Source organism: Homo sapiens, chromosome 17 (genome assembly GCF_000001405.40).
Source record: "Homo sapiens chromosome 17, GRCh38.p14 Primary Assembly".
Lineage (NCBI taxonomy): Eukaryota > Metazoa > Chordata > Mammalia > Primates > Hominidae > Homo > Homo sapiens.
In genome coordinates, this window is record NC_000017.11 from 37,590,648 (window position 1) to 37,614,872 (window position 24,225).

The 24,225-nt window shown below is 40.0% G+C and overlaps 2 protein-coding genes across 55 annotated transcripts in view; both read right to left on the reverse strand.

Moving 5' to 3' along the window:
• SYNRG (synergin gamma) overlaps window positions 1–18,771 on the reverse strand; it is a 94,612-nt gene extending 75,841 nt beyond the window's left edge. For 28 of the 52 annotated variants that reach the window (NM_001163547.3, XM_047435248.1, XM_017024104.3 and 25 more), the window contains exons 1-3: window positions 18,632–18,771; window positions 9,716–9,756; window positions 5,576–5,697 (exon numbers count right to left, since the gene is read on the reverse strand). In NM_001163547.3, the coding sequence (NP_001157019.1) occupies window positions 5,576–5,697; window positions 9,716–9,756; window positions 18,632–18,708 (240 nt within the window). In that variant the 5' untranslated portion in view covers window positions 18,709–18,771. The remainder of the gene's footprint in view (window positions 1–5,575; window positions 5,698–9,715; window positions 9,757–18,631) is intronic. The other 24 variants (XM_047435249.1, XM_047435247.1, XM_047435246.1 and 21 more) reach the window with 3 other exon arrangements.
• Window positions 18,772–19,091: 320 nt separating this feature from the next.
• DDX52 (DExD-box helicase 52) overlaps window positions 19,092–24,225 on the reverse strand; it is a 33,708-nt gene continuing 28,574 nt past the window's right edge. For all 3 annotated transcript variants that reach the window (NM_007010.5, NM_001291476.2, XM_011524233.4), the window contains one exon: window positions 19,092–23,706. In NM_007010.5, the coding sequence (NP_008941.3) occupies window positions 23,649–23,706 (58 nt within the window). In that variant the 3' untranslated portion in view covers window positions 19,092–23,648. The remainder of the gene's footprint in view (window positions 23,707–24,225) is intronic.

Genomic DNA, 24,225 nt, shown 5'->3' on the forward strand with positions numbered 1-24,225 from the left:
CAGTGGCTCATGCCTGTAATCCCGGCACTTTGGGAGGCAGAGGTGGGTGGATTGCTTGAGGTCAGGAGTTCGAGACCAGCCTGGCCGACATGGTGAAACCCCATCTCTACTAAAATACAAAAATTAGCTGGGCAAGGTGGCGGACACCTGTAATCCCTGGTACTAGGGATGCTGAGGCAGGAGAATTGCTTGAACCCAGGAGGCGGAGTCTGCAGTGAGTCGAGATCGCGCCACTGCACTCCAAGCCTGGGCGACAGAGTAGTATAAAAATACATACGAGAACTATAAACACCGAATTCATGATAGTGATAACAACTTCTGAGGAAGGAGAGGAAGGAAAGTATTTTTCAATTCTTTAAAAAAATGTAAAACAAACGTGGCATATTAAAATCTGATAAAGGTAGGACATGACTACCCATATTAAAAAATCCCATGGAATCCACAAAAAAATTCCCAGAGCTAATAAAATGAGTTCAGTAAGGTTGAAGGATATAAAACAAACATAAACAATCAATTGTATTTCTATATACTAGCAATGAATATGTGAACACTGACATTTAAAAAACGCCATTATAATTACTCAAAAAATCAAAATATTTAGATGTAAATCTAACCAAACATGGATGTGACTTTTATGCTGAAAACTATGTAAATGATAGTTTACACAGTCTTCTGATAGAAGAAACCAAAGATCTAAACAAATGAAAAGACATCTCATATTGATATGTTGGAAGACATCAATTCTCCCTAAATTCATACAGAGGTTTAACACAATGCCTATCAAAACTCCAGCAAGAGTTTTTCCAAAGATAGACAAGACTATCCCAAAATTAATATGGAAAGACAGAGGAACCAGAATAGTTAAATTTTGAAAAGAAGAAGAATGTAGGAGGAATCAACCTTATCGTATAGCTACCGTCATGAAGACTGTGTTATTGGTGAAGGAACAGGCATATACATAAAACAATAGAACAGAACAGAGAACCTAGAGAAAGATCCATACAAGCATGCCCAACTGATTTTTGACAAAAATGTGAAAGCATTTCAATGGAAGCAGAATAGCTTTTTCCACAAATGTTGCTGGGGCAATCACACTTGCATAGGTAAAAAGAGAGAGATAAAAAACAACCTCAATCTAAGTCTTAGATCTTACACAAAAATTAACTTAAAATGGATCACGGACTTAAATTAAAACTATAAAACTTTTAGAAAAAAATAGGAGAAAATCTTCAGAATCTAGGGCAAGGCAATGAACTCTTAGAGTTATACCAATGCATGATCCATAATAGGAAAAACTGGTAAATTAAATTTCATCGAAATTGAACTTTTGCTCTGTAAAAGACCCCGTTAAGAGGGTGAAAAGACAAGCTAAAGACAAGAAGAAAATACTTGTAAACCACATATCTGACAAAGGACTAGTACCTAAAAGATATAAAGAACTCTCAAAATTCAATAGTAATACCAAAAAATGCAATTAGAAAATGGTCAGAAGCTATGAAAAGGCATTTCTCTGAAGAAAATGTAATGATGGTAAATAAACAAATGAAAAGATGCTCAACACCATCTGCACATTAAAACCATGCAAATTAAAACCATGAGATATTACAACGTACCTGTGAGAATGGCTAAACAAAAAATAATGACACTAAATGCAGGTAAGGATGCAGTATAATTGAACCTCTGATACATTGCCGGTGGGAATGTAAAATAGTACAGCTACTCTGGAAAAAAGTTTGGCAGCATCTTAAAAAACTGAAAATGCAATACCATGCAACCCAGTAATTGCACTCTTGGGCGTTTATCCCAAGAAATGAGGACATATGTTCACGCAAAAACCTTTATTTGTAATAGCCAAAAATTGTAAACAACTCTGATGTCCTTCAGTGAGCAAAAGGTTAAACAAACTGTCATACATCCACACCATGGACTATTACTCATCGATTATAAAAAAAATGAACTACTGATACATGCAACAATTTGGATGAATCTGAAGGGATTATTCTAAGCGACAAACGCCAAACCCAAAAGGTTAATGATTCAATTTATATAACATTTTTGAAAACACAAAATTATAGAAATGGGGAACACACTAGTGAATGCAAAAGGAGTAAGGTGGGGCAGGAAGGAAGTGAATACAGCTACAAAAGGACAATGTGAGGAGATCCTTGGGGAGATGGAAATGTTCTGTATCTCAGCTGTGCCAATGTCCATATGCTGGTTGTGTTACTATATTTCTACAAGTTTTACCAATAGGGGAACTGGGCAAAGGATTTCTATTATTTCTTACAATAACACAACAGTTTGCAACAGGTTTACACATGTCCATCATGTGCTCTAAACTTGCCTAGATGTTTGAAATGCTTCAGAATAATAATTTTAAAATGTATTGTACATCATGAGGAGTGTTTTCTTTTTATGTGTTTTGGGGAAGGGAGAGATTATAATAATCAATAATAATATAATAATAATCAAGACTAAATTTCTGGCCGGCGCGATGGCTCACACCTGTAATCCCAGCCCTTTGAGAGGCCAAAGCGGGTGGATCACTTGAGGTCAAGAGTTCAAGACCAGCCTGGCCAACACTATGAAATGCTGTCTCTACTAAAAATACAAAAATGAGCCAGATGTGGTGGCATGCACCTGTAATCCCAGCTGCTTGGGAAGCTGAGGCAGGAGAATCGCTTGAACCCAGGAGACAGAAGTTGCAGTGAGCCGAGATTGTACCACTGCACTCCAGCCTGGGCAACAGAGCCAGACTCTGTCTCAAAAAAAAGACTAAATTTTTTTATGTTGACTTTTATCTGAATCATCACTTTTATCTCCAAAGACTTAAGAGATAACTAAAGGAACAATGGGTTTGCTTCATGTATGTCCCTGATTGGTTAGGGCTATTGAGTTTCGGGGTGGGGGGAAATAAAATCTGGATGTTTTTCTCCTTAAAAAATGGTGAGTGGCGGACAGGTGTGGTGGCTCATGCCTATAATCCCAGCACTTCGGGAGGCCGAGGCAGGCAGATCACCTGAGGTCAGGGGTTTGAAACCAGCCTGGTCAACATGGCGAAACCCCATCTCTACTAAAAATACAAAATTAGCCGGGCGTGGTGGCACATGCCTGTAATACCAGCTACTTGGGAGGCTGAGGCAGGAGAATCGCTTGAACCTGGGAGGCGGAGGTTGCAGTGAGCCGAGATCGTGCCATTGCACTCCAGCCTGGGCAACAAAACTCCCTCTCAAAAAAAAAAAAAAAAAATGGTGAGCAGCTTCCAAACAGTATAATGCCTGTCAGCAAGATTAAAGGTTAAAGAAAAAGACTTTGGCTGCTTTGTCTTAGAATCATTAATACACAAGCTTCTGATATTCAGGGACATTATTAAGGTACTAACAACTCTCATAGTTTACTTTTTTCTTATTGTTCTGCATATTAGAGACTCTTACTGTTTTTGGTTGTTTCAAACTCTAAAAACATTTTTCAGATAATTGTGTAAGTCATAAAATAATGTTTATGAATATTATTTTAATTATATTAATTACAATATTAATTATTTTAATTATATTAATTACAATATTAATTATTTTAATTATATTAATTACAATATTAATTATTTTAATTATATTAATTACAATAATATTAATTTTAATTATATTAATTACAATATTAATTATTTTAATTAATATTTAATATTAAAATAAAAATTAATGATTTAAAATTTGTATCAATTGTTATTAAGATTCAGTATTAAGCTTAGGAAGTCTTAATTTAAAATACATTGTATTCTATGGTAGATTGTTTTTAGTTATTTGCTGCCTTTCTTCTTCTTTTTTTTTTTTTTTTTTGAGATGGAATCTCACTCTGTCGCCCAGGCGGGAGTGCAGTGGCGCAATCTCAGCTCACTGCAACCTCTGCCTCCTGGGTTCAAGCGATTCTCCTGCTCAGCCTCCTGAGTAGCTGGGATTACAGGCATGCACCACCACGCCCGGCTAATTTTTGTATTTTTAGTAGAGACGAGGTTTCACCATGTTGGTCAGGCTGGTCTCGATCTCCTGAACTCATGATCTGCCCACCTCAGCCTCCCAAAGTGCTGGGATTACAGGTGTGAGCCACTGCTCCCAGCCATTTGCTACCTTTATTCTAAGAGAACTACACATCCCTATGTGGTTTACATTCGTCCTGGTATATTCCTCCCCTATTGATGTTAAGGCCACATTACTTTGGTGAGCAGAAGTGACTAATAAATGCTACCTCCAAGTGTTAGCTTTAAAAGACATCACAGGGTTTGGCCATCTCTTTTTCCTATGCCAAGAGCCTAGGATGTCCTGGCTGAGGGTCTTAGGATAAAGAAAACATGGAGCAGAGTCAGCACTAACCCATAAGGATATGTATCACGAGTGAGGAATAAACTTTTCTAAGTCACTGAGATCTGGGGACTGTTTCTGCAGCACACCCTAGTGAAAGCTAGCTTAACATGAATTAAAAACCTACACAATTTCAATGTATTCCCTTCCTTCTAGAGACAGATAAAAAATGACACTGGAAGTTTTCCTGACCCTTTAAACACAAAACAGAAGCTTTATTTGCATAATCGACTTCAAAACAACAATGGTTTCAACTTAAAATTCTGGTCATGAAGTCCTAATATCACTTATTTATAAGTTATATACATGTGTTACTGTATAAAAGTATATACTGTATAACAAAACACACAGAAATAGAAAATGTTAAAGTATTAGGTAAATAAGTAAACTAACGCAGAAACAAAAAACCAAATACTGCATGTTCTCACAAGTGGGAGCTAAACACTGGGTGCACATGGACATAAAGACAGGCTCGACAGACATTGGAGACTACAAGACGGGAGAAAGTGGGGGAAGGGTTGAAAAACTACCTGTTGGTACTATGCTCACTACCTGGGTGATGGGTTCCATCATACCCCAACCCTCAGCATCACACAACATATTAGTGTAACAAACCTACAAACGTGCCCCCTGAATCTAAAATATAAGTTGAAAAAAGCAAAAATAAGTAAAGTATTAGGTAAAAAAGAAATACAGTATATGGCCTTCAAGATAGCTGTTAATAGTACAAAAGCAAAAACCTTTTTTTCCTCTGGCCTTTTTTTTTTTTTTTGAGACGGGAGTCTCACTTTGTTGCCCAGGCTGGAGTACAGTGGCATGATCTTGGCTCACTGCAACCTCCACCTCTCGGGTTTAAGGGATTGTCCTGCCTCAGCCTCCCGAGTAGCTGGGACTACAGGCACATGCCACCACGCCCAGGTAATTTTTGTATTTTTAGTAGAAACAGGGATTCACCATGTTGGCCAGGCTGGTCTCGAACTCCTGACCTCAAGTGATCTGCCCGCCTTGGCCTCCCAAAGTGCTGGGATTACAGGCATGAGCCACTGCACCTAGCCTTTTCCCTCACTCTTGGAGGGTGAACACATCTTCATTTTAGTTTGAAGGAAGCCATTTATTTATGCTTATTTCTAATTGTAACATTAAGCTCTTAGCCTGTAGCTCTTGATATATAAACGTAACAACAAACAATAACTTTGTAAGAAACCAACTAAAGAAGCAAGTACCTGCATAGCAATAGGTCCTTGGGACATCTGAGAGCTGTAATTCATTCCCATAATGCCTTGCATATTAGGCTGCATGACAGAGACCATAGGAAATCCTTGTTGCTGCATCGGCATCAGGCCTGCTGAAAATATAAAGACATTATTAAAGTCAATGTGTTTTAAAGTTTATTTTCTTAAAACCATAAGTACCTAAAGGACTTGTTACTTGGCAGGAAGCAGAGTGTAATGGAAAAAGCACAGGGTCCTGAGTGAGACAGATGTGAATATGAATTCCAACTCCATCATTTACTTAGCTGTGTGATCTTGAACAAGTTACAAAACTTCATCTGTAAAATGAAGATAATATCTCTTCTATGGAATTTGTATGCATATTAAAAAACAGTATGGCCTAATTGGGGTACTCAGCCTTCAAGATGGCCTCCAATGACCTCTGTCTCCTGGTATTCATACCCGTGTGTTGTTCCATTCCATACTGAATGGGGCTGATCAGTATAACCAACAGGATACTGTGGAAATGACAGCATGTAACTTCGAAGGCTAGTTATTTTTTTTTTCTTTTGAGACAGAGTCTCACTCTGTCACCCAGGCTGGAGTGCAGTGGCATGATCTCAGCTCACTGCAACTTCCACCTCCTGGGTTCAAGCCTCCCAAGTAGCTGGGACTACAGGTGCCTGCCACCACGCCCAGCTAATTTTTGTATTTTTTAGTAGAGATGGGGTTTCGCCATCTTGGCCAGGGTGGTCTTGAACTCCTGACCTCAACACCCGCCTCAGCCTCCCAAAGTGCTGGGATTACAGGTGTGAGCCACTGTGCCTGGCCTGAAGGCTAGTTCTTAAAAGACACTGTAGTTTCCTCCTGGTTCTTTTGGATCACTTGCTCTGGAGCAAGCCACTGCCACGTCATGAAATACTCAATAAGACCTATGGAGAATCCATGTGGTAAGGTACTGAGGTCTTCTGCCAAAAGGCAGCATGAATTTGCCATCTATCTCAGCGAGCCACCTCGGCAGCATCTCCATGAAACTTTCAGATGACTGCAAGCCTGGCTGACATCTTCACTGCAATCTCATAAGAGGTCTTGAGCCTGAACCACCCAGCAGAGCTACTCCTAGATTCCTGACCGAGAGACACACTATGAAATAATAAAATGTTTACTTTTTAAAGTTTGGGATAATTTGTTACACAACAGCAGATAACTAACAAAATAACAGTTAGGAGCATGAACTCTGGGAGCCAACTAGAAATGACACATACTATTTTGGAACCTTGGGCAATCTGCTTCTTTCTATGCCTTGGTTTATCATTTGTAAAACTGTTTAATACTTACTATGCTCAAAGAAATGTTATTCTTCTTCCTTTTTCTTACATGAATAGGTAATATAACAGTTACCACAAAATAGCCATCAGCATGTGCAATGGCAGAAAACTATCACGAATGTATGATTTAGGCTAGTGTTTCCCAAACTTTTCCAAGAGCAGAGGTGAATGAATATACATCCCTTTGGGATTTTAATAAATACTAAATGCTTATTATATGCTAGGCATAGTTCTATGTGCTTGGTACACAAGAAGTGAATAAAACAAAATCCCTACATAGTCTGAGCACAAATTTCATTCTAATTTTGCATTCAAACTACATCTATGTTGGTTCTACCATAAGGAACTTTATATCAAACTGTCAGTTTGAAAAATTAAAGATCTAGGAAATTATACCATGTTTATCTTATGGTTTTTGTGTACCTCCCAGGTTATTTATAACCTAGCCTAATTTCAGAAGCATGGACATCCACATTTGTGGCTAACAGTTATTAGAGGTAGGCCATTCACTTATTCAAGTATTTGAAGCCTACTCCGTATTAGGCACTGTTCTAGGGACATAGCCATGAACAAAACCAGGTCTTCACTCTCATGGAACTTACACTGTAATTAGGAGAGATAGATAACAAAAAAATAAGTACATGTCAGGTGGTGATAAGAGCTAGGGCAAAAAATAAAGCAGGGCAAGGGGGAATGGAGTGGTTGCTATTTTACATAGGGCAATCAGAAAAAGTTTTACCAACAGGGTAGTATTTCAACAAGAACCTCAAGTAAATAAAGAACCAAGCCATGCAGATGTTTGGGAAAAATATTCCAGACCAAAGAACACCAAGTACAAAGATCACGAGGTGTCAGGGAGAATTAGAATACACAGATTGAAAATAGCCACAGTAAGATGTTTTCCGTCTTATTTCTTTGGACTTAAAGTTTTATTGATTTTAACTGATTTTATTTTATTTCTGAATGGGTAACTCAGATATCTGGCATAATATTTCAAGGCACAAAAGTGTACACAGTAAAAAATAGGTCTCTTTCTCTCCTCTGTCTCCGGTTCAAGTACTCATGATCTTGTGGCCATGACCTTGCTGTCGGTTTCTTACATATGTTTTCAGAAATGATCCATGCATAATTTAAAGCCTTCAAATGATCAAAAAGTCCATTCTAACAACTGTTAAAAAAAAATCTCCAAACCAATTCCAAATTCCCTAAGAAAAAATATCAGGCAACACTTTGGGGTCTCTTCTTGTCCAGTTCCTTTGCTCCATATGCATATTTTTACTTGAAAGTGTATAGAAATGCAAAATAACAAACATGATAATGGACACATAACTCTGTAATACCTTCCTAAAGAACAAAAGATCTCAAACCATTTGATCTCAATCTGGGACACATCTAATTACAGATAGCTTAAATAATGCATAAATGTGAACACGATGAAAAGAATACAACTGAGCCTTGGAAAAACTTACCTGAAACCCAACCACCATCACTGATTATAAATGAAGACAAAGTCAGGATGAGCCACTGACCACCTGCTACTGAGCTGCTCTTTATCTTTTATCTCTACTGCTGACCTAGGAGTCTCTGTTTCTTTAGCAAATCTATGACAACCAATCAACGCTGGCTTTTTAAGAAGAGCCAGTTTTCAGAAGCAGCTTGGTGTGACGGGAGAGGGAAGACTGTCAGAGTGAAAGAAATGAGCGGAAAGAAGCCAGATGAAGGCAGATCTATTCCTTCTTCACTGTTGTGTCCCAGTTGCATGGCAGCATGGGTCAAAATTATATTCCTTCACTACTATTTCCTTGAAGATAAAGCTAGAATTGATATTGGTGGGTCCTAGTCTGAGACCAAGAGAGAAAAGGTATACTTAGAGAAATTTCTAGGAATAGAACTGAGACTTGGCCGGATGTGGTGGCTCATGCCTGTAATCCCAGTGCTTTGGGAGGCCAAGGCAGGAGAATCGCTTAAGCCGAGGAATTTGATACCAGCCTGGGCAACATAGGGAGACCCTGTCTCTACAGAATATTTAAAAATTAGCCAGGCGTGGTGGTATGCACCTGTGGTCCCAGCTACCTGGGAAGCTGAGGTGGGAGGAATGCTTGAGCCTAGGTGGCTGAGGCTACAGTAAGCTATGACTGTGCCACTTATACTCCAGCCTGGACGACAGAGCAAGAGACTCCATCTCAAAAATAAAAATAAAAAACCAAACAAAATCCTGAGACTTAAATACTTAAGCTGAATCAGACTATGTGATCTCTTTTAATTTCAAAATTATATATTTATAAAACATGATTATAATAAGATACTATCATATAGATAAAAAATAGCAGTGTAAAACAACTAAAGATGTTTGTTTATTCATTCAACAAACATCTACAGATAACCTATTGTGCTGAATCAACATGCTGGGTGCTACAAATAATGCTAGATGAGCATTAGACAGACATGGCACTAACAATCTAGCAGAAGACTAGATAGAAGGAGAAAGACATCATTAAGTGAATTACAGCTCGTTTCATTTTTATCACCTGTTCTTTAACATTCTTGTCCTAAAAGTCTTTCACCTCTGAGGTTAAACAATCTATGAACATAATGTCTATGTAAGTTTGGGAGAAACGAGGAGTGATCCTTATTACTCCCAAAATTATATAATTTTTGAGAAAATTTAAGAGTAGCTGTCATATAGGACATACAGGTTTAAGAGTGCAGAAAATTTTACTCTATTCAGCAGCAACAGAACTTATTTTCTATTTACTTATTTAATTCCCAGATTCAGAAACACAAGAGTGAAAAATAAAAGTTCAAAACTTAAGCTCTCACATACCTTGAGGGGGTCTTATCCCACCTGCAACAGGAAACATGAAGCTGAAAACAGAATAAAAATACATTATAATCTTCGTATGTACAAAGATTTCAAATAACACGTGTACTTTTTTATATGGATAAAAGACTTGTAGATGGGACCTGGTGTTTGTTCTGCACCACAATACTGAATTGCCCAACATCAGTACACTGAGCATCCATAGGATGCATGTCAGCATGCTACTGCAGACGGAAACTTGTTGAAACAAAAGACAGAAGACCCTGAAATTAGTCCTGGCTCTGTCACTTCGTGTCCTCTCTGGATTCCAGTTTCCCCATCTATAAAATGAGAGAGTTTAGATTCAATTCAGTCAACATCTATTGAGTGTCAACTACATGAAATGATGGAATCTTATAATCAAAAATACACATATGCAGGCAAATAACTATACCACAGGGTAAATGTGCTAACTGCTATAAGCGAGGTCCAAATTATTAATAGAGATGAGAAGAAAAAGATGAATTTTAATGGGCTATATCTTGAGAAGTTTTATGGAAGTAGCTCTGGAGCTGAATCTTGAAGGAAAATAGAAGCACACTATATATTTTGAGCAAAAGCTCTGAGGCAGAGATGCAGGGATGTTTGGAGAAATGAATGTAGGTTAAATGTTAACTATATGATTTAAAAGCAAGCAGATTGTACAGGGCCTTTATTTTTATTTTTATTTATTTATTTATTTTTGTGAGATGGAGTTTCGCTCTTGTTGCCCAGGCTTGAGTGCAATGGCGCGATCTTGGCTCACTGCAGCCTCCACCTCCTGTGTTCAAGCAATTCTCCTGCCTCAGCCTCCTGAGTAGCTGGGATTACAGGCACCCGCCACCACGACTGGCTAATTTTTTGTATTTTTAGTAGAGGCAGGGTTTCACCATGTTGGCCAGGCTGGTCTCAAACTCCTGACCTCAGGTGATCCACCCGCCTCGGCCTCCCAAAGTGCTGGGATTACAGGTGTGAGCCACCGCACCTGGTCAAGGGCCTTTAAAATGTTTCATTTTATTTTGAATATTATATGAAGTTGTCAGAGGTTTTATTGTTATTGTGGTAACATATACATAACATAAAATTCTATCATTTTTAACCATTTTTAAGTGTATAATTCCATGGCATAATTAAGGACATTCACAATATTGTCAACCATTACCACTATCCATTTCCAGAACCTTTCCATCATCCCAAACAGAAACTCTGTACCCATTAAACAATAAGTCCTCATTTTAGAGCGTAAGAAAGCTCTCTTCTAAGGTTTTTTTTAAGCTGACAACTTTATTTTTATTTTATTTTTTTGAGACGGAGTTTGCTCTTGTCGTCCAGGTTGGAGTGTGATGGCATGATCTCAGCTCACTGCAACCTCCGCCTGCCAGGCTCAAGTGATTCTACTGCCTCAGCCTCCTATGTAGCTGGGACTACAGGCGAGCACTACCAAACCTGGCTAATTATTGTATTTTCAGTAGAGACAGGGTTTCACCATGATGGCCAGGCTGGTCTTGAACTCCTGGCCTCATGATCTGCCTGCCTTGGCCTCCCAAAGTGCTGGGGTTACAGACATGAGCTACGGCACTTGGCCTAGGCTCTTTTGAATAAAGGTTAAGCCTGGGCGACAGAGTGAGATTCCGTCTCAAATAAATAAATAAATAAAGGTTAAAAAGTTAAGCTCTGGCCAGGCGCAGTGGCTCACGTCTGTAATCCCAGCACTTTGGGAGGCCAAGGTAGGTGGATCACCTGAGGTTGGGAGTTCCAGACCAGCCTGACCAACATGGAGAAACCCCATCTCTACTAAAAATACAAAATTAGCTGGGCATGGTGGTGCATGCCTGCAATTCCAGCTACTCAGGAGGCTGTGAGGCAGGAGAATCACTTGAACCCAGGAGGCGGAGGTTGCAGTGAGCCAAGATCGCGCCATTGCACTTCAGCCTGGGCAACAAGAGTGAAACTCCGTTTCAAAAAAAAAAAAAAATTAAGCTCTGGTTGTAGATGAAATAGCCAAGGGCATATATCCAGTAACAAAACAACTAAGGACAAACTTGGAGAATTCTTGCAGTGAAAACTGAGTAGGAAATGGTCATTGAAAACCAAGGGAGTGCTTATAACTGAGAGTTATAACTGAAGAAGGACCACATTTCAACAAGGAAGTAGTTACCAGTGTCTAATGCTGTAGAATAGCGGTGAGAATGAAGATTAAAAAATAAATCACTGCTTTCAAAAATGGTGATTGTTAAGTGAGTTAGTTTCAACAAAGAAAGGGGAAGAGACCCTAGGGAGAAAAAATTTAAGAGACAAAATACATACCTAGTGATTTATAAGGTTTTTAAGGAAATGGGATTAACACGCGAAGGAGCAAAAGGGGGCCAGATGAGGTGGTGCATGCCTGTAATCCCAGCACTTTGGGAGGCCAAGGCAGGCGGATCACTTGAGGCCAGGAGTTCAAGACCAGCCTGGTCAACATGACAAAACCCCATCTTTACTAAAAATACAAAAATTAGCCAGGCGTGGTGGCATGTGCCTGTAATCCCAGCTATCCAGTAGGCTGAGACATGAGCATTGCTTGAACCCAGGAGGCGGAGGTTGCAGTGAGCTGAGATTGCCCCACTGCACTCCAGCCTGAGCAGACAGAATGACAGAAGGAGACTCTGTCTCAAAACAAAACAAAACAAAACAAAGTAGCAAAAGGGATCTGCTTTGAAAAGGAAGTGGGACTTCTTTCTCTGAGCCTGGAAAGAAAAAGGGACAAATCAAGGAAGACTTCTGAGTGAGAAAGGCTCTTAATCCGGGAGTCAAGGATCTGAAAAGGAGGTTTCTAGATACTCTTTAGAGAATCTAGTGAATGGCTGGGTCTGGTGGCTCACACCTATAATCCCAGCACTTTGGGGGGCCAAAGTGGGAGGATTGCTTGAGCCCATGAGTTTGAGACCAGCCTGGGCAACATAGTGAGACCTCATCTCTCCAAAATAATAATAATAACAACAACAACAACAATAAATAACATAAAAATTATAATGGTGATTCTTTTCCAGAAAGTTTTCAATTTACTGTGTCCAGTTCCATCAAAAGAATCACTATCTATGGGCGTTATAGCCTTAGATATAGCCTTACAATGAATTTCTCAAATAATAAGAGATGAAAGAAGAAATTACTCCTTGATTCATGGAGAATGGATGCCGCTTTAGCAGACATGAGAACATTAACCTTCTCATGCATTGCCATCAGAGCTCTTGGGTGACCAGGCACATTGTCAAGAAGCAGTAACGTTTTCAAAAGAAACTTTTTTCTGAGAAGTAGGTCTCAACAATGGGCTTAAAATACTCAGTAAACCATGCTGTAAACAGATGTGCTGTCACCCAGGCTTTGTGGTTCAATTTATGGACTATAGGCAGAGTAGATTTAGCATACTTTTGAAAAGCCCTGAGATTTTCATAGTGGTCAGTGAGTATTGGTTTAATTTAAAGTTACCTGCTGCATTAGGCCCTAACAAGACAGTCAGCCTGTCCTTTGGTGCCAGACATTGACTTCTCCTCTCTAGCTAGGAAAGTCTTAGATGGCATCTTCACCTGCATTGAAAATCTGGCCAGGTATGGTGGCTCATGCCTGTAATTCCAGCACTTTGGGAGGCCGAGGTGGGTGGATTACCTGAGGTCAGGAGTATGTGACCAGCCTGGCCAACATGGTGAAACCCTATTTCTACTAAAAATATAAAATTAGCCTGGCGTGGTGGTGCGTGCCTGTAATCTCAGCTACTGGGGAGGCTGAGGCAGAAGAACCACTTGAACCCGGGAGGCGAAGGTTACATTGAGGCGAGATCACGCCACTGCACTCCAGCCTGGGTGACAGAGTGAGACTCTGTCTATAAAAAAAAAAAAAAAAGAAAATCTATTGTTTAGCGTAGCCACCTTCATCAATGATCTTAGCTCTTCTGAATAACTTGCTAAAGCTTCTACATCAGCACTTGCTGCTTCACCTTGTACTTTTTTGTTATGGAGATAGCTTCTTTGCTTAAACCTCATAAACTGACCTGTTAGCTTCCAACTTTTCTTCTGCAGCTTCCTCACCTATTTCTCAGCCTTCAGCCTTTACAGAATTGAAGAGACTAAGGATCTTGCTTCAAATTAGGCTTTGGCTTAAGGGAATGTTAAGGGTGGTTTAATCTTCTATCCAGACCACTCACCCTTTTTCAATATCAGCAATAAAGCTGTTTTACTTTCTTAACATTTGTGTTTCCTGGAATAGGACTTTTAATTTCCTTCAAGAACTTTTCCTCTGCATTCACAACTTAGTTAACTGGTGTAAGAGGCCTCGCTTTTGACCTACCTCAGCTTTCAACACTTAATGACTAAGCTTTATCATTTCTAGCTTCGGATTTAAAGGGAGAGATGGGCGACTCTTCCTTTCACTTGAACACTTAGAGGCCACTGTAGGGTTAATCAGCCTAATTTCAATACTGTTATGTCTCAGGGAATATGGAGGCCCTTGGAGAGGAAGACCGGGGAACAGCTGGTAGGTAGAGCAGTCAGACTGCACAAAACATTTATCAATTACGTTTGCTGTCTTATACGAGCTGGGTTTGTGGTGCTCCAAAACAATTACACTAGTAACATCAAAGATCACTGATCACAGATCACCATAACAAATAATAATAATGAAAGAGTTTGAAATATTGTGAGAATTACCAAAATGTGACAGAGACATGAAGTGAACACAGGCTGTGGAAAAATTGCGCGGATAAACTTGCTCAATGCAGAGTTGCCACAAACCTTCAATTTATAAAAAACACTGTATCTGCTAACTGCAATGAGGTATGCCTGTATTCAGTTTTTAAAGACATTACTCATATGCTAAAATTGATACATTCAGGAGCAATGAATACATTTAAGTAATCAAGCTGTCAAGATTTTTAAAAATCAGGCTTAAACATTTAAATTAGTCATATGGCCTAGAGGCTCAAAAGAATTGGAAACTCGTGTATATTTTCTTTCTTCCAGCTTTGCCATAAAGTAACTGTGAAGCTCTGTGCAATCTCCTTTACCCCCTGTCTGGTTTCCCCTCTGTCAAATGAGGACGTAGAATCAAGGCTGCTAAAGTCTCAGCTAAGACAATCACATAGACATGAATACATAAACAGATGTATAAAGGTTACTTTGAAAATGAAATAAAAACAAAATACTGTCAAACATGACTTTCTCTAGTAAGAATTTAGCAAATCGAACTGCTTAGTGACCTATGAAAAATTCATATTTTTCTCTGAAATGTTTAGACAACTAATAACAACATGCTTAAAGATTGGTTAGATAAGCAGTTAAGGCATTAATAAGACAGTAAAAGCTTGGCAAAAAACTGGGCAGGAAGGTGACCAACAATTTAATTTCAAAGGTAAAACCACTAATTCTTATATTACTGACATCTCGGTATGAAAGCAGAGCTCTGTCACTTACCTATCTCATCCGTCCCTCCTTTTCAGTTACCTTTGCTACTAACCTAGATTTGACACTAGGCTTCACTTCTTAGGCCTAAACTCCTACATAAAGACTTCCTAATGGATCTCCCCACCTCCAGACTCTGGTTTCTAATTCATCTGATGCAGCACAAGTGAGAGACATCTTTCTAAATGATGGACCATTACGCAATAATTAAATGGTCCTTTAGCAAGACGCACCCCTGAAGTTAAAACTATGAAATGATTTCCCTGAAACTGAATTTCCTTAGTTTAAACTCAAGGCCCTCTCTAGTTTGGGCACAACTCTACTTTGCAGTTTTATCTCACAAAACTCTTCTCTGCCACTCAGAGCCACAGTCATCTGGCACTGCAGGTACATCGTTTCCTTAGTGTTGACTAGGCCTTCCCATCTCTGTGACGATCTCTTGACCGCTTCCTCTTCCTCTAACTCTGTGGGCCAAATGAAATACCACTTCTTTGCCTTTGATATAGCTGAAATCCACAAATATTTACAGAATGTTTTTTATGTGCAAAAATGTGCTAGAAGCAGTGAAAGAAGAAAAGATGAGGAAGCCCTCTAAAAGCTTGTAAAAGATCAGGAAAAAATAGACAAGTTCACAGATGATAACATCCCAGAAGAACGTGACCTCTTTGTTCCACTTTACTTTGTACCACAGTTATTTTGTACATTCTCCAAGGATGGGGACCATGTTTTGATGTCTTTTTAATTCATTACAGCATCAAGAACAGTACCTTACCCATGTAAGCATTCAATGACTACAGACTAATCCAGATCTTTCAACTCTTTTTTTTTTCTGCCTTGATTAAAGAAAAAAAAAATTTATACTTCTCATCTCTTGGGCAAATTTTGCCCTTTATACAACTCTACCATTTATTCTAAAGTAGCTCATCCAGGACACCAATCAAAAGTAGGGTAATATTAAATTTGGAAAACGTTATTGTGTTTTGCTTAGCCTCTTAGAATATAGAGAAGTATCTAAACAATACAGTCAGTTATAGTTCATGGATTTTCTCCATTAAAGGTGTAGAGAAGTTGCCTGTTTTTTTTCTTCAAATATACTTAGGTTGCCATAATGTTAAGTTTCCTTATAAAATAATTTCAGGGAGGGTGGGTGGCAAAAAGAAAATTAAAAAGGAAATAAAATAACTTCAGCCTTTACACCATTACTCTCTAAAAAAAATAATATTCCTTTTTCTATTGAGGATACAGCTTCTCAGCCTCAGAAAGTTGCCAATATATGTAACATATGTACCATACATTTTTCAAGGTAAGAATCATTTTAACCACTTCTTTCTCTCCTGTATATCGTTTACAGTTTTAGAATGCAGATGTTGCTACATTTACAAAGGGGGGAAATTTTAAAATCATTCTAATTTCTATCAAAATTCAACCCATATTTATTTTAAAAATTTGTGTCCATGGACCAATGATACTCAAATACTGCAAACTAAAGGGAATAATGCACTTGAATTTCTGAACCTGAGGTCCTCCCCATCCAAAAACATTTTTTAAGTAAATAAAAATTTGGGCCTAGATATCAATTCTTCTAAGTTTACATTTTCCCAGAACTTGGTGCCATGATTAATCATATACTTGATCAAATTAATACCATCCAGGGACATTTTAGAAACTGTAATCACATATAGGAAATAAATAGAGGATGCCGGGCGTGGTGACTCAAGCCTGTAATTCTAGAACTTTGGGAGGCCAAGGTGGGCGGATCACTTGAGGCCAGGAGTTTGAGACCAGCCTGGCTAACATGGTGAAACCCCGTCTCTACTAAAAATACAGAAATTAGCTGGGCGTGGTGGCGCACGCCTGTAATCCCAGCTACTTGGGAGGCTGAGGCAGAAGAATCGCTTGAACCCGGGAGGTCGAGGTTGCAGTGAGCCGACATCGTGCCACTGCACTCTAGCCTGGGTGACAGAACGAGACTCTGTCTCAATCGATCAATCAACAAAATTAGCCGGGCATGGTGGCGCGCACCTGTAATCCCAGCTGCTCCGAGGCTGAGGCAAGAGAATCGCTTGGACCCAGGAGGCAGAGGTTGCAGCGGGTCGAGATCACGCCGCCGCACTCTGGCCTGGGCAACAGAGCAAGACTTCCTCTCAAAAAAAAAAAAAAAAAAAAAAAAACAAGACAAAAGAAAAAGAAAAAACAAATAGAAGGGAATTATTACATATGTTTCTTCTCCAGCCAGAAACTGGCTTACACGAAGTATTTATTTTTTAAAAAACCCTCTAATGAAACAACGGAGAGAACAAAAGAGAAAGCAAAAAGTTTAAAAATCTAAAGTTAAAGATGTGCAGAGGAAATGAAAAATGGGGTTACACACAGGTGGTTTATTGAACAGCCACTGCTCGTTTCCTGACAAGCACCTGCAAGAGGTGATAACTTTAAGGTCCTTACACTTTTGTAGTGTTCACGACTCCGAAATTGAAACACTGCATATAAAAAAAAAACCTAACACTTCGTTTTCCAAAGACAATTTAGGATACTGAAGATGCAAAGCTACTTTTACCTCCAAATGTGTGTGCTGTTGTGTGTTGGTTAGTAAAACAAAATCAGACTAGGTCATTATAGAAGTGGAGTGAAAACTTCCTAGAATAAAATATTTCCTTAAATGATAACGAATCTGTCAGCTTGTAAAACGTACATCTCCCTTACCATTCTGGGTATAAGAACCACGGCAGTTCTTGGCTGAAATGTGGCAGAGGGCAGATTTGTTTAAGGGCTGAGTCTGGAAGCTTTGTTCTAATAAATGCGCAACTGCTGTTTAACAGTGCACTTTCTTTGTTTTTAAATGCCTTTTTAAAAAGAAGACAGACAAGTCTTAAGAGTTAGTGTACAAGACAAGAACTCTATCTCAAGACCATTACTAATTCAGAGGTCTTTAGATGTTCCTGCTGTTTGTCGCGGGTTAAGGAAATAAAGAGGACAGGACACTCTAAAAGGGGAAGAGACAAATAGTCCACACACACACCCCCCTTGGAAACAGTCCTCCAGCTTTGTGAACAGATTTTTAAAGCCCTCCCTCCAACATATCCGGTTAAGTCTAGAAAGCCCAAGGAAAGGGAAGACCCTGGTCGCTTCAGAGGCAGCTAGGACTAGGAGCGGAGTCGCGGTTCCTGATTTGCCCCGCCCCCCCCCACCCCAAGAGGACCCTCATCTTCTCTCCCCTCCCACACTGGGCGCGCGCTCGCTCCCCGCTCGATTCCAGGCGGCCGGCGCCCCCAACTGATCCCGGAACACCAGCGTCCAGCACCTGGGCTCCACACGCCCCTTTCGGCCTGGGTCCCTGGGGGATGACCCTCCTCCCGCAGCCCAGTTCCAAGGAAAAGGATCAGGGCTGGAGAAAACTGCCATAACTGCCAAGCGCCCCTCGCCGCCCCCGCGGAGGCCAGCGGGCTCCCGCCCGGCTCTTCACACCTACCCGCCTCCCCCGGCGGACCCCGCGCCAGCTCCCGCGGCCCCGCCGCCACCAGAACCAGCTCCTGGCCGCAGCGCCATCTTGCTCCCGACCTGCCGCTGCCTTCGCCGCCGCCACCTTATCAGCAGCTGTCAGCTGAACACAGCCACTTCCGGGTCAAACACCAGGCCCCACCTCGCCGCGGACCGGGCGATGGGGCGGGGCCTCGCGCCCACGTGACTCCCCCGGCCCTCGGGGAGGCGTGGCGCGCCCACGGCACGTGACCCGGCGCCGCAGGGGTCCCCCAGATTCAATTCTAGCTCTCGGGCTGGTGGGGCGGTCGCGGGCGCCTCTCCAAGGGAGCTGATTCATTGTCTGGTAGGCCCTCTGCAGGGCCCAGCTGGCGGCCCAGTGGCAAAGCGCCGTTGGTCCTCCGTTTGAAAACCATGATCGCGGTTAGTGGAAAGAGTAGGCTGAGTCCTGATTTTTAAACTATACGGTGGGTACACTGGTGTTCTTTTATTGTTACTCTTTACACACAAAGAACAGATAGGTCCTGAAGGGCCCTTTGATAGTCTCGCAGCACTGATGAGTGATCAGCTCTCCCCTCTTTCTCTGGAACTCGGTAGCTTCATGTTGGCACCTATCACAGACGCTGAAGGCATTTAAATTTTATTTTAAATCAACCAAGAGCCCAAAAACCCAACCCATATTTCGAAAAAACTCCAAGGTGTACTACTCTTGTTTGGTTCTGCCATCCTGCCACCTTACAGTCCTTTTGTTTTTCCTATTCTTGCAGGCAAGTGCAAAACAGTGGTTTTTGGAAGGCAATTCATAATTACTCTGAAGCTATTTCGGCATATTTTTTACTGATTTTTTTTTTTTTTGAGACAGGGTCTTGCTCTGTTGTCCAGGCTGGAGTGCAGTGGCATGATCATGGCTCACAGCAGCCTCAGCCTCCCTGGCTCAAGCGATCCTCTCGCCTCAGCCTCCTGAGTAGCTGGGACCACAGGCATGCACCACCACACCGGGCCAATTTTTTTTTTTTTTTTTTTTTTTTTTTTTGTAGAGATAGGATCTATGTTGCCCAGGCTAGTTTCAAACTGCTAGGCTCAAGCTATGCTCCCACCTCGGCCTCCAAGTGCCAGGGTGTGAGCCACATGCCTGGGCTGTGATTTTTTTTTTTCTTTTAATCAAACTACTGTCTGGAAGTAAAACATGAAAGTTGAGTAATTTTCTCAAGCACGTAGTTTGCTTGCTAACAAGTAATGGATTAATTAGCTTTACGTTTTCACTCTTGTCTCAAGGTTTTTACTGGGTAATAATTTGTAATAAGTTATTAGGCACAAACCACTGGTCAGGAACTGTACACGCATTTTAAAAAATCCTCAGTATCCTTAGGAGTTACAATTGGCATCTTACAGATGAGAAAATCAAGGTTAGAAACAGTTACTGTCATTTGTCCAGATCATACAGCTACAAGCAATGAGGATCAGGATTCAAATCCAGGCCAGTTTGACTCTAAAGTCCTTGCTCATTTCACCAGAGCCAGCTATTCAATTTTTATGTTTTTTCTTTTGCTGTAACTGCCTGTTCACTAATTTCACTCCTTCCCTTCCTTGTGTGAAGCTGAAATTTATGTAGCACATAGTTCCAACTGCTTTGAAGGAGCTAAATTTAGTATTAATACACTGACTAAGTTGATACAGGTTACTGTAGATACTTTAAACAGACACAATAAAGTCAAGGATCATAGATGTGACCTCAGTTTGTCCTGGAATCCTTTTTGTTCCTCTTCTTTGCCTATTGGTTTTTACATTTGCAGGATTCAACTCAGGATGTCGGCCTTCCATGACATCCCCAATCTGGGTTAGATGCCCTCTTGTGATGCTTTAGCATCATGGCCTTACATCTAACAGAGCACTTGCCACACTAGTCATGTGCTACATGATGATGTTTTGGTCAGCCACAGACAGCAGATACAATGGTGGGATGAGAAGTGGGGGTGGAAGACAGTGAGACTGATGATCCTGACCTTTTGTATGCCTAGCATAATGTGTGTGTTTGTGCCATGGTTTTTAACAAAAAAGTTTTAGAAGTAAATAGTAAAACAAAACAAACAAACAAAAATTAATAGAAAAAAAGCTTCTAGAATAAGGATATAAAGAAATAAAGTATTTTTCTACAGCTGTACATTTGCATTTTAGGCTAAGTGTTATGACAAGAATCAAAAAAGTTTATAAAGGCCGGATATAGTGGCTCACTCCAGGTCAGGAGTTTGAGACCAGCCTGGCCAACATGGTGAAACCCTGTCACTAAAAATACAAAAATTAGCTGGGTGTGGTGGCGCATGCCTGTAGTCCCAGCAACTCGGGAGGCTGAGGCAGGAGAATCACTTGAACCCAGGAGTCAGAGGTTGCAGTGAGCCGAGATCATGCCACTGCACTCCAGCCTGGGCAACAGAGCAAGACTCCATCTCCAAAAAAAAAAAAAAAAAAAAATCTAAAAAACCCAACTGGACAACAAGCAAGACCTCGTCTCTACAAAATTTAAAAATTAGCTGAGTGTTGGTGGCCCGCACCTATAGTACCAGCTACTCGGGAGGCTGAGGTTTGAGGATCACTTGAGTCTAAGAGGTCAAGGCTGCAGTGGGCCATGATTGTGCCACTAAACTCCAAATTAGGTAACAGACCCTGTTTCTCAAAAAAAAAAAAAAAAACAAAACAAAAAAACTCATAAAGTAAAAGTTACAGTAAGCTAAGGTTAATTTATTGAAGAAAAAATATATATCTAATATATATAATACATAATATATATAATGTGTGTGTGTGTGTTTATTTTCAAGACAGTCTTGCCCTGTCGCCCAGGCTGGAGTGCAGTAGCGCGATCTCGGCTTACTGCAACCTCCGCCTCACAGGTTCAAGCTATTCTCCTGCCTCAGACTCCTGAGTAGCCGGGACTATGCCACCACACCCGGCTAACTTTTTTTGGTATTTTTTTTAGTAGAGATGGGGTTTTGCCATGTTGCCCGGGCTGGTCTCTAAACTCCTGAGCTCAGACAACCTGCCCGCCTAGGCCTCCCGAAGTGTTAGGATTACAGGCATGAGCCACTACGCCTGGCCAAGAAAAATATTTTCAATAAATTTAGTATAGGTTAAGTGTGCAGTGTTTATACAAGTCTACATGTTCCAACTGTCTATAGCATGCAGGACAGTAACATGCTATACGGGTTTGTAGCCTAGGAGCAACAGACTATACCATATAGCCTAGGTGTACTGGTAGGCTATACCATCTAGGTTTGTGGAAGTAAACAACATGATGTTTACACAATGACAATATCACCTAACGATGCATTTCTCAGAACATATCTCTGTCATTAAGTGATGCGTGACTCTATTTGCTCCTTTATCTCTAACATTACATTGTAAGGGTAAGGACTGTGTTATCAAGCCTGTATTCCTAACAAAATCTATGTTTAAGAAATATTTATTGTGAGTTTACTATGTATCAGGTACAGTGCTAGGTACTCACAATTGGAGACATAATTTTATAGATGAGAACACTGAAACTCTGAGAAATTAAGAACTTACTCAAAGTCACACAGCTGGCAAATGGGTTGCACCAGTATACCTACCTCCAGAATATATATTGGGTAAAGGATCTGTTTGCATGAACAAACAAAAAAATCATATTCTTGTAAGTATTTTTACACCCTGTACCAGTAGATCTTTCTTTAAATAAATTCCGAAGATGAACAATTTTTGTCCCATCTAAAATATTCAAAGCAAAGTCCACCTGTTCTGACTCTAGAACAAAAAGCTACAAATAGAGGAAATAAATAAGTTGAATTCAAATGCTGCTGAGAAAAGGCAATGTATATTATAGTTCTGTGGTAGTACTGATAACATTCAAGTCATTCTTAGGCACCAGTCTTACGTATATGAAGTCACTTTTTCATTCCATTGTACAAAACTCATATTTTGAGAAAAATCTAATAGCTAATAGTCTCCAACACCATATGATCATAATCCTTTAGCTTAAGTAGAGATCTACTTATTAAATGAGGCACCATCAACCTAAGGAAAGATAAGCTGTAAGAGAATGAAGACAGAGGTATATCAAGTAACAAGAACATTCTTCCTTATCAGGATAAAATGTTTATCAGTATTCAAATAAAATATCTTAAATGGAAAGAGACAGGAAAGAACATGGTTAAATCACAGAAAATGAAGAAAGGGAGAAGCTGATCATGATCTTGTACAACATTATGACAGCACTAAGGTATTACGTATCCAATACAAGGATACTTAATAGACCAAAGAATTTAAAATCCCAGGGAACTGGAATAACCAGCCACAAAAGAGGCCTCTCTTTGTTGTGGTTCACAACACAAAAGGCCATCAACAAATTAGGAAATATTAAAATTAAGAGAGCAGCAGGTTTCTTCTTGGTAGACAGCTCATGCTACCATCCACAAAGTGAGCAGTGGAAGGGGTATTTAATGTCAAGGCTTTATTTTGAATTTCTGTTCCAGATGCCTCTCCACAGCATTCATCACACCTTCCTTCACACTTGAAGGGAAAAGTCCTTAAGAGTTCACCACATTTTGGTGTTATTTTTAGCATAAACATTTGTTTTTCTATAAGAAGTATCTCTCTGGATTCAAACCACAGAAATGTCAATGAATGTTATTTCCATTGTATAATCATTTAAAAGTCACCTACAGAGCTGGGTGCAGCAGCTTGTGCCTGTAATCTCAGTTACTCAGGAGGCTAAGGCAGGAGGATTGTGTGAGGTCAGGAGTTCAAGACCAGCCTGGACAACATGGCAAGACCCTCATCTCTACAGGAAAAAAAAAAGGCACCTACAAATTGAAACTGACTTGATAGTTTAGGATCATTTATCACCAGTCCCATGTACTTGTAGTTGATTTCAAATGTTTGGTACAGGTGACTGTAAGACTTCAAGTATTCCATGAAAATAACATTCATGCTGGGATCATAAAATTACATTTCTGGGACAGTATTTTTAAAGTCTGTTTTTAACTTTTGTCTTCAAGAGCTACTTTCTTCTTGCTGTTCTGACCAGTGACCTTTTTCCTGTAAAGAGCAAAGTAAGAAAAATTGAATAAAAAATTCTACGTATATTTACTTTCCATAACCCTACCACCAGTTTAATAAACATTTACTGAAACCTACTGTGTATCAAATAATGAGGCACTAGGAACACAAAGATGCATTAGACATGGTCTCTGCCCTTTAGAAAATCACAATCACCTAAGTGAGGCAGAACCATCACAGTAAACTACATTACTACATGGTATGACACATAGGTTCGGATCCTGACCTAATGAGTTCACAATGATTCAGTGCTTACTGCATGCTAGAAACGGTTACTAAGTGCTTTACATGTATTAACTCGGGTAATTTTCCTAACAACTTATGAGGAGTATTGTATTATTATCCTCCGTTTACAGATGAGGAAAATGAGGCACAGAGTGGTTGACTTGCCAGTCATCACTCACTGGTAATCCATGTTAGACACGAATCCTATCAGTCTGATCCTATAGCCTAGTGAAGGTTGAATGTCATTAACTAAGTGGTAACAGACAAAGGAAA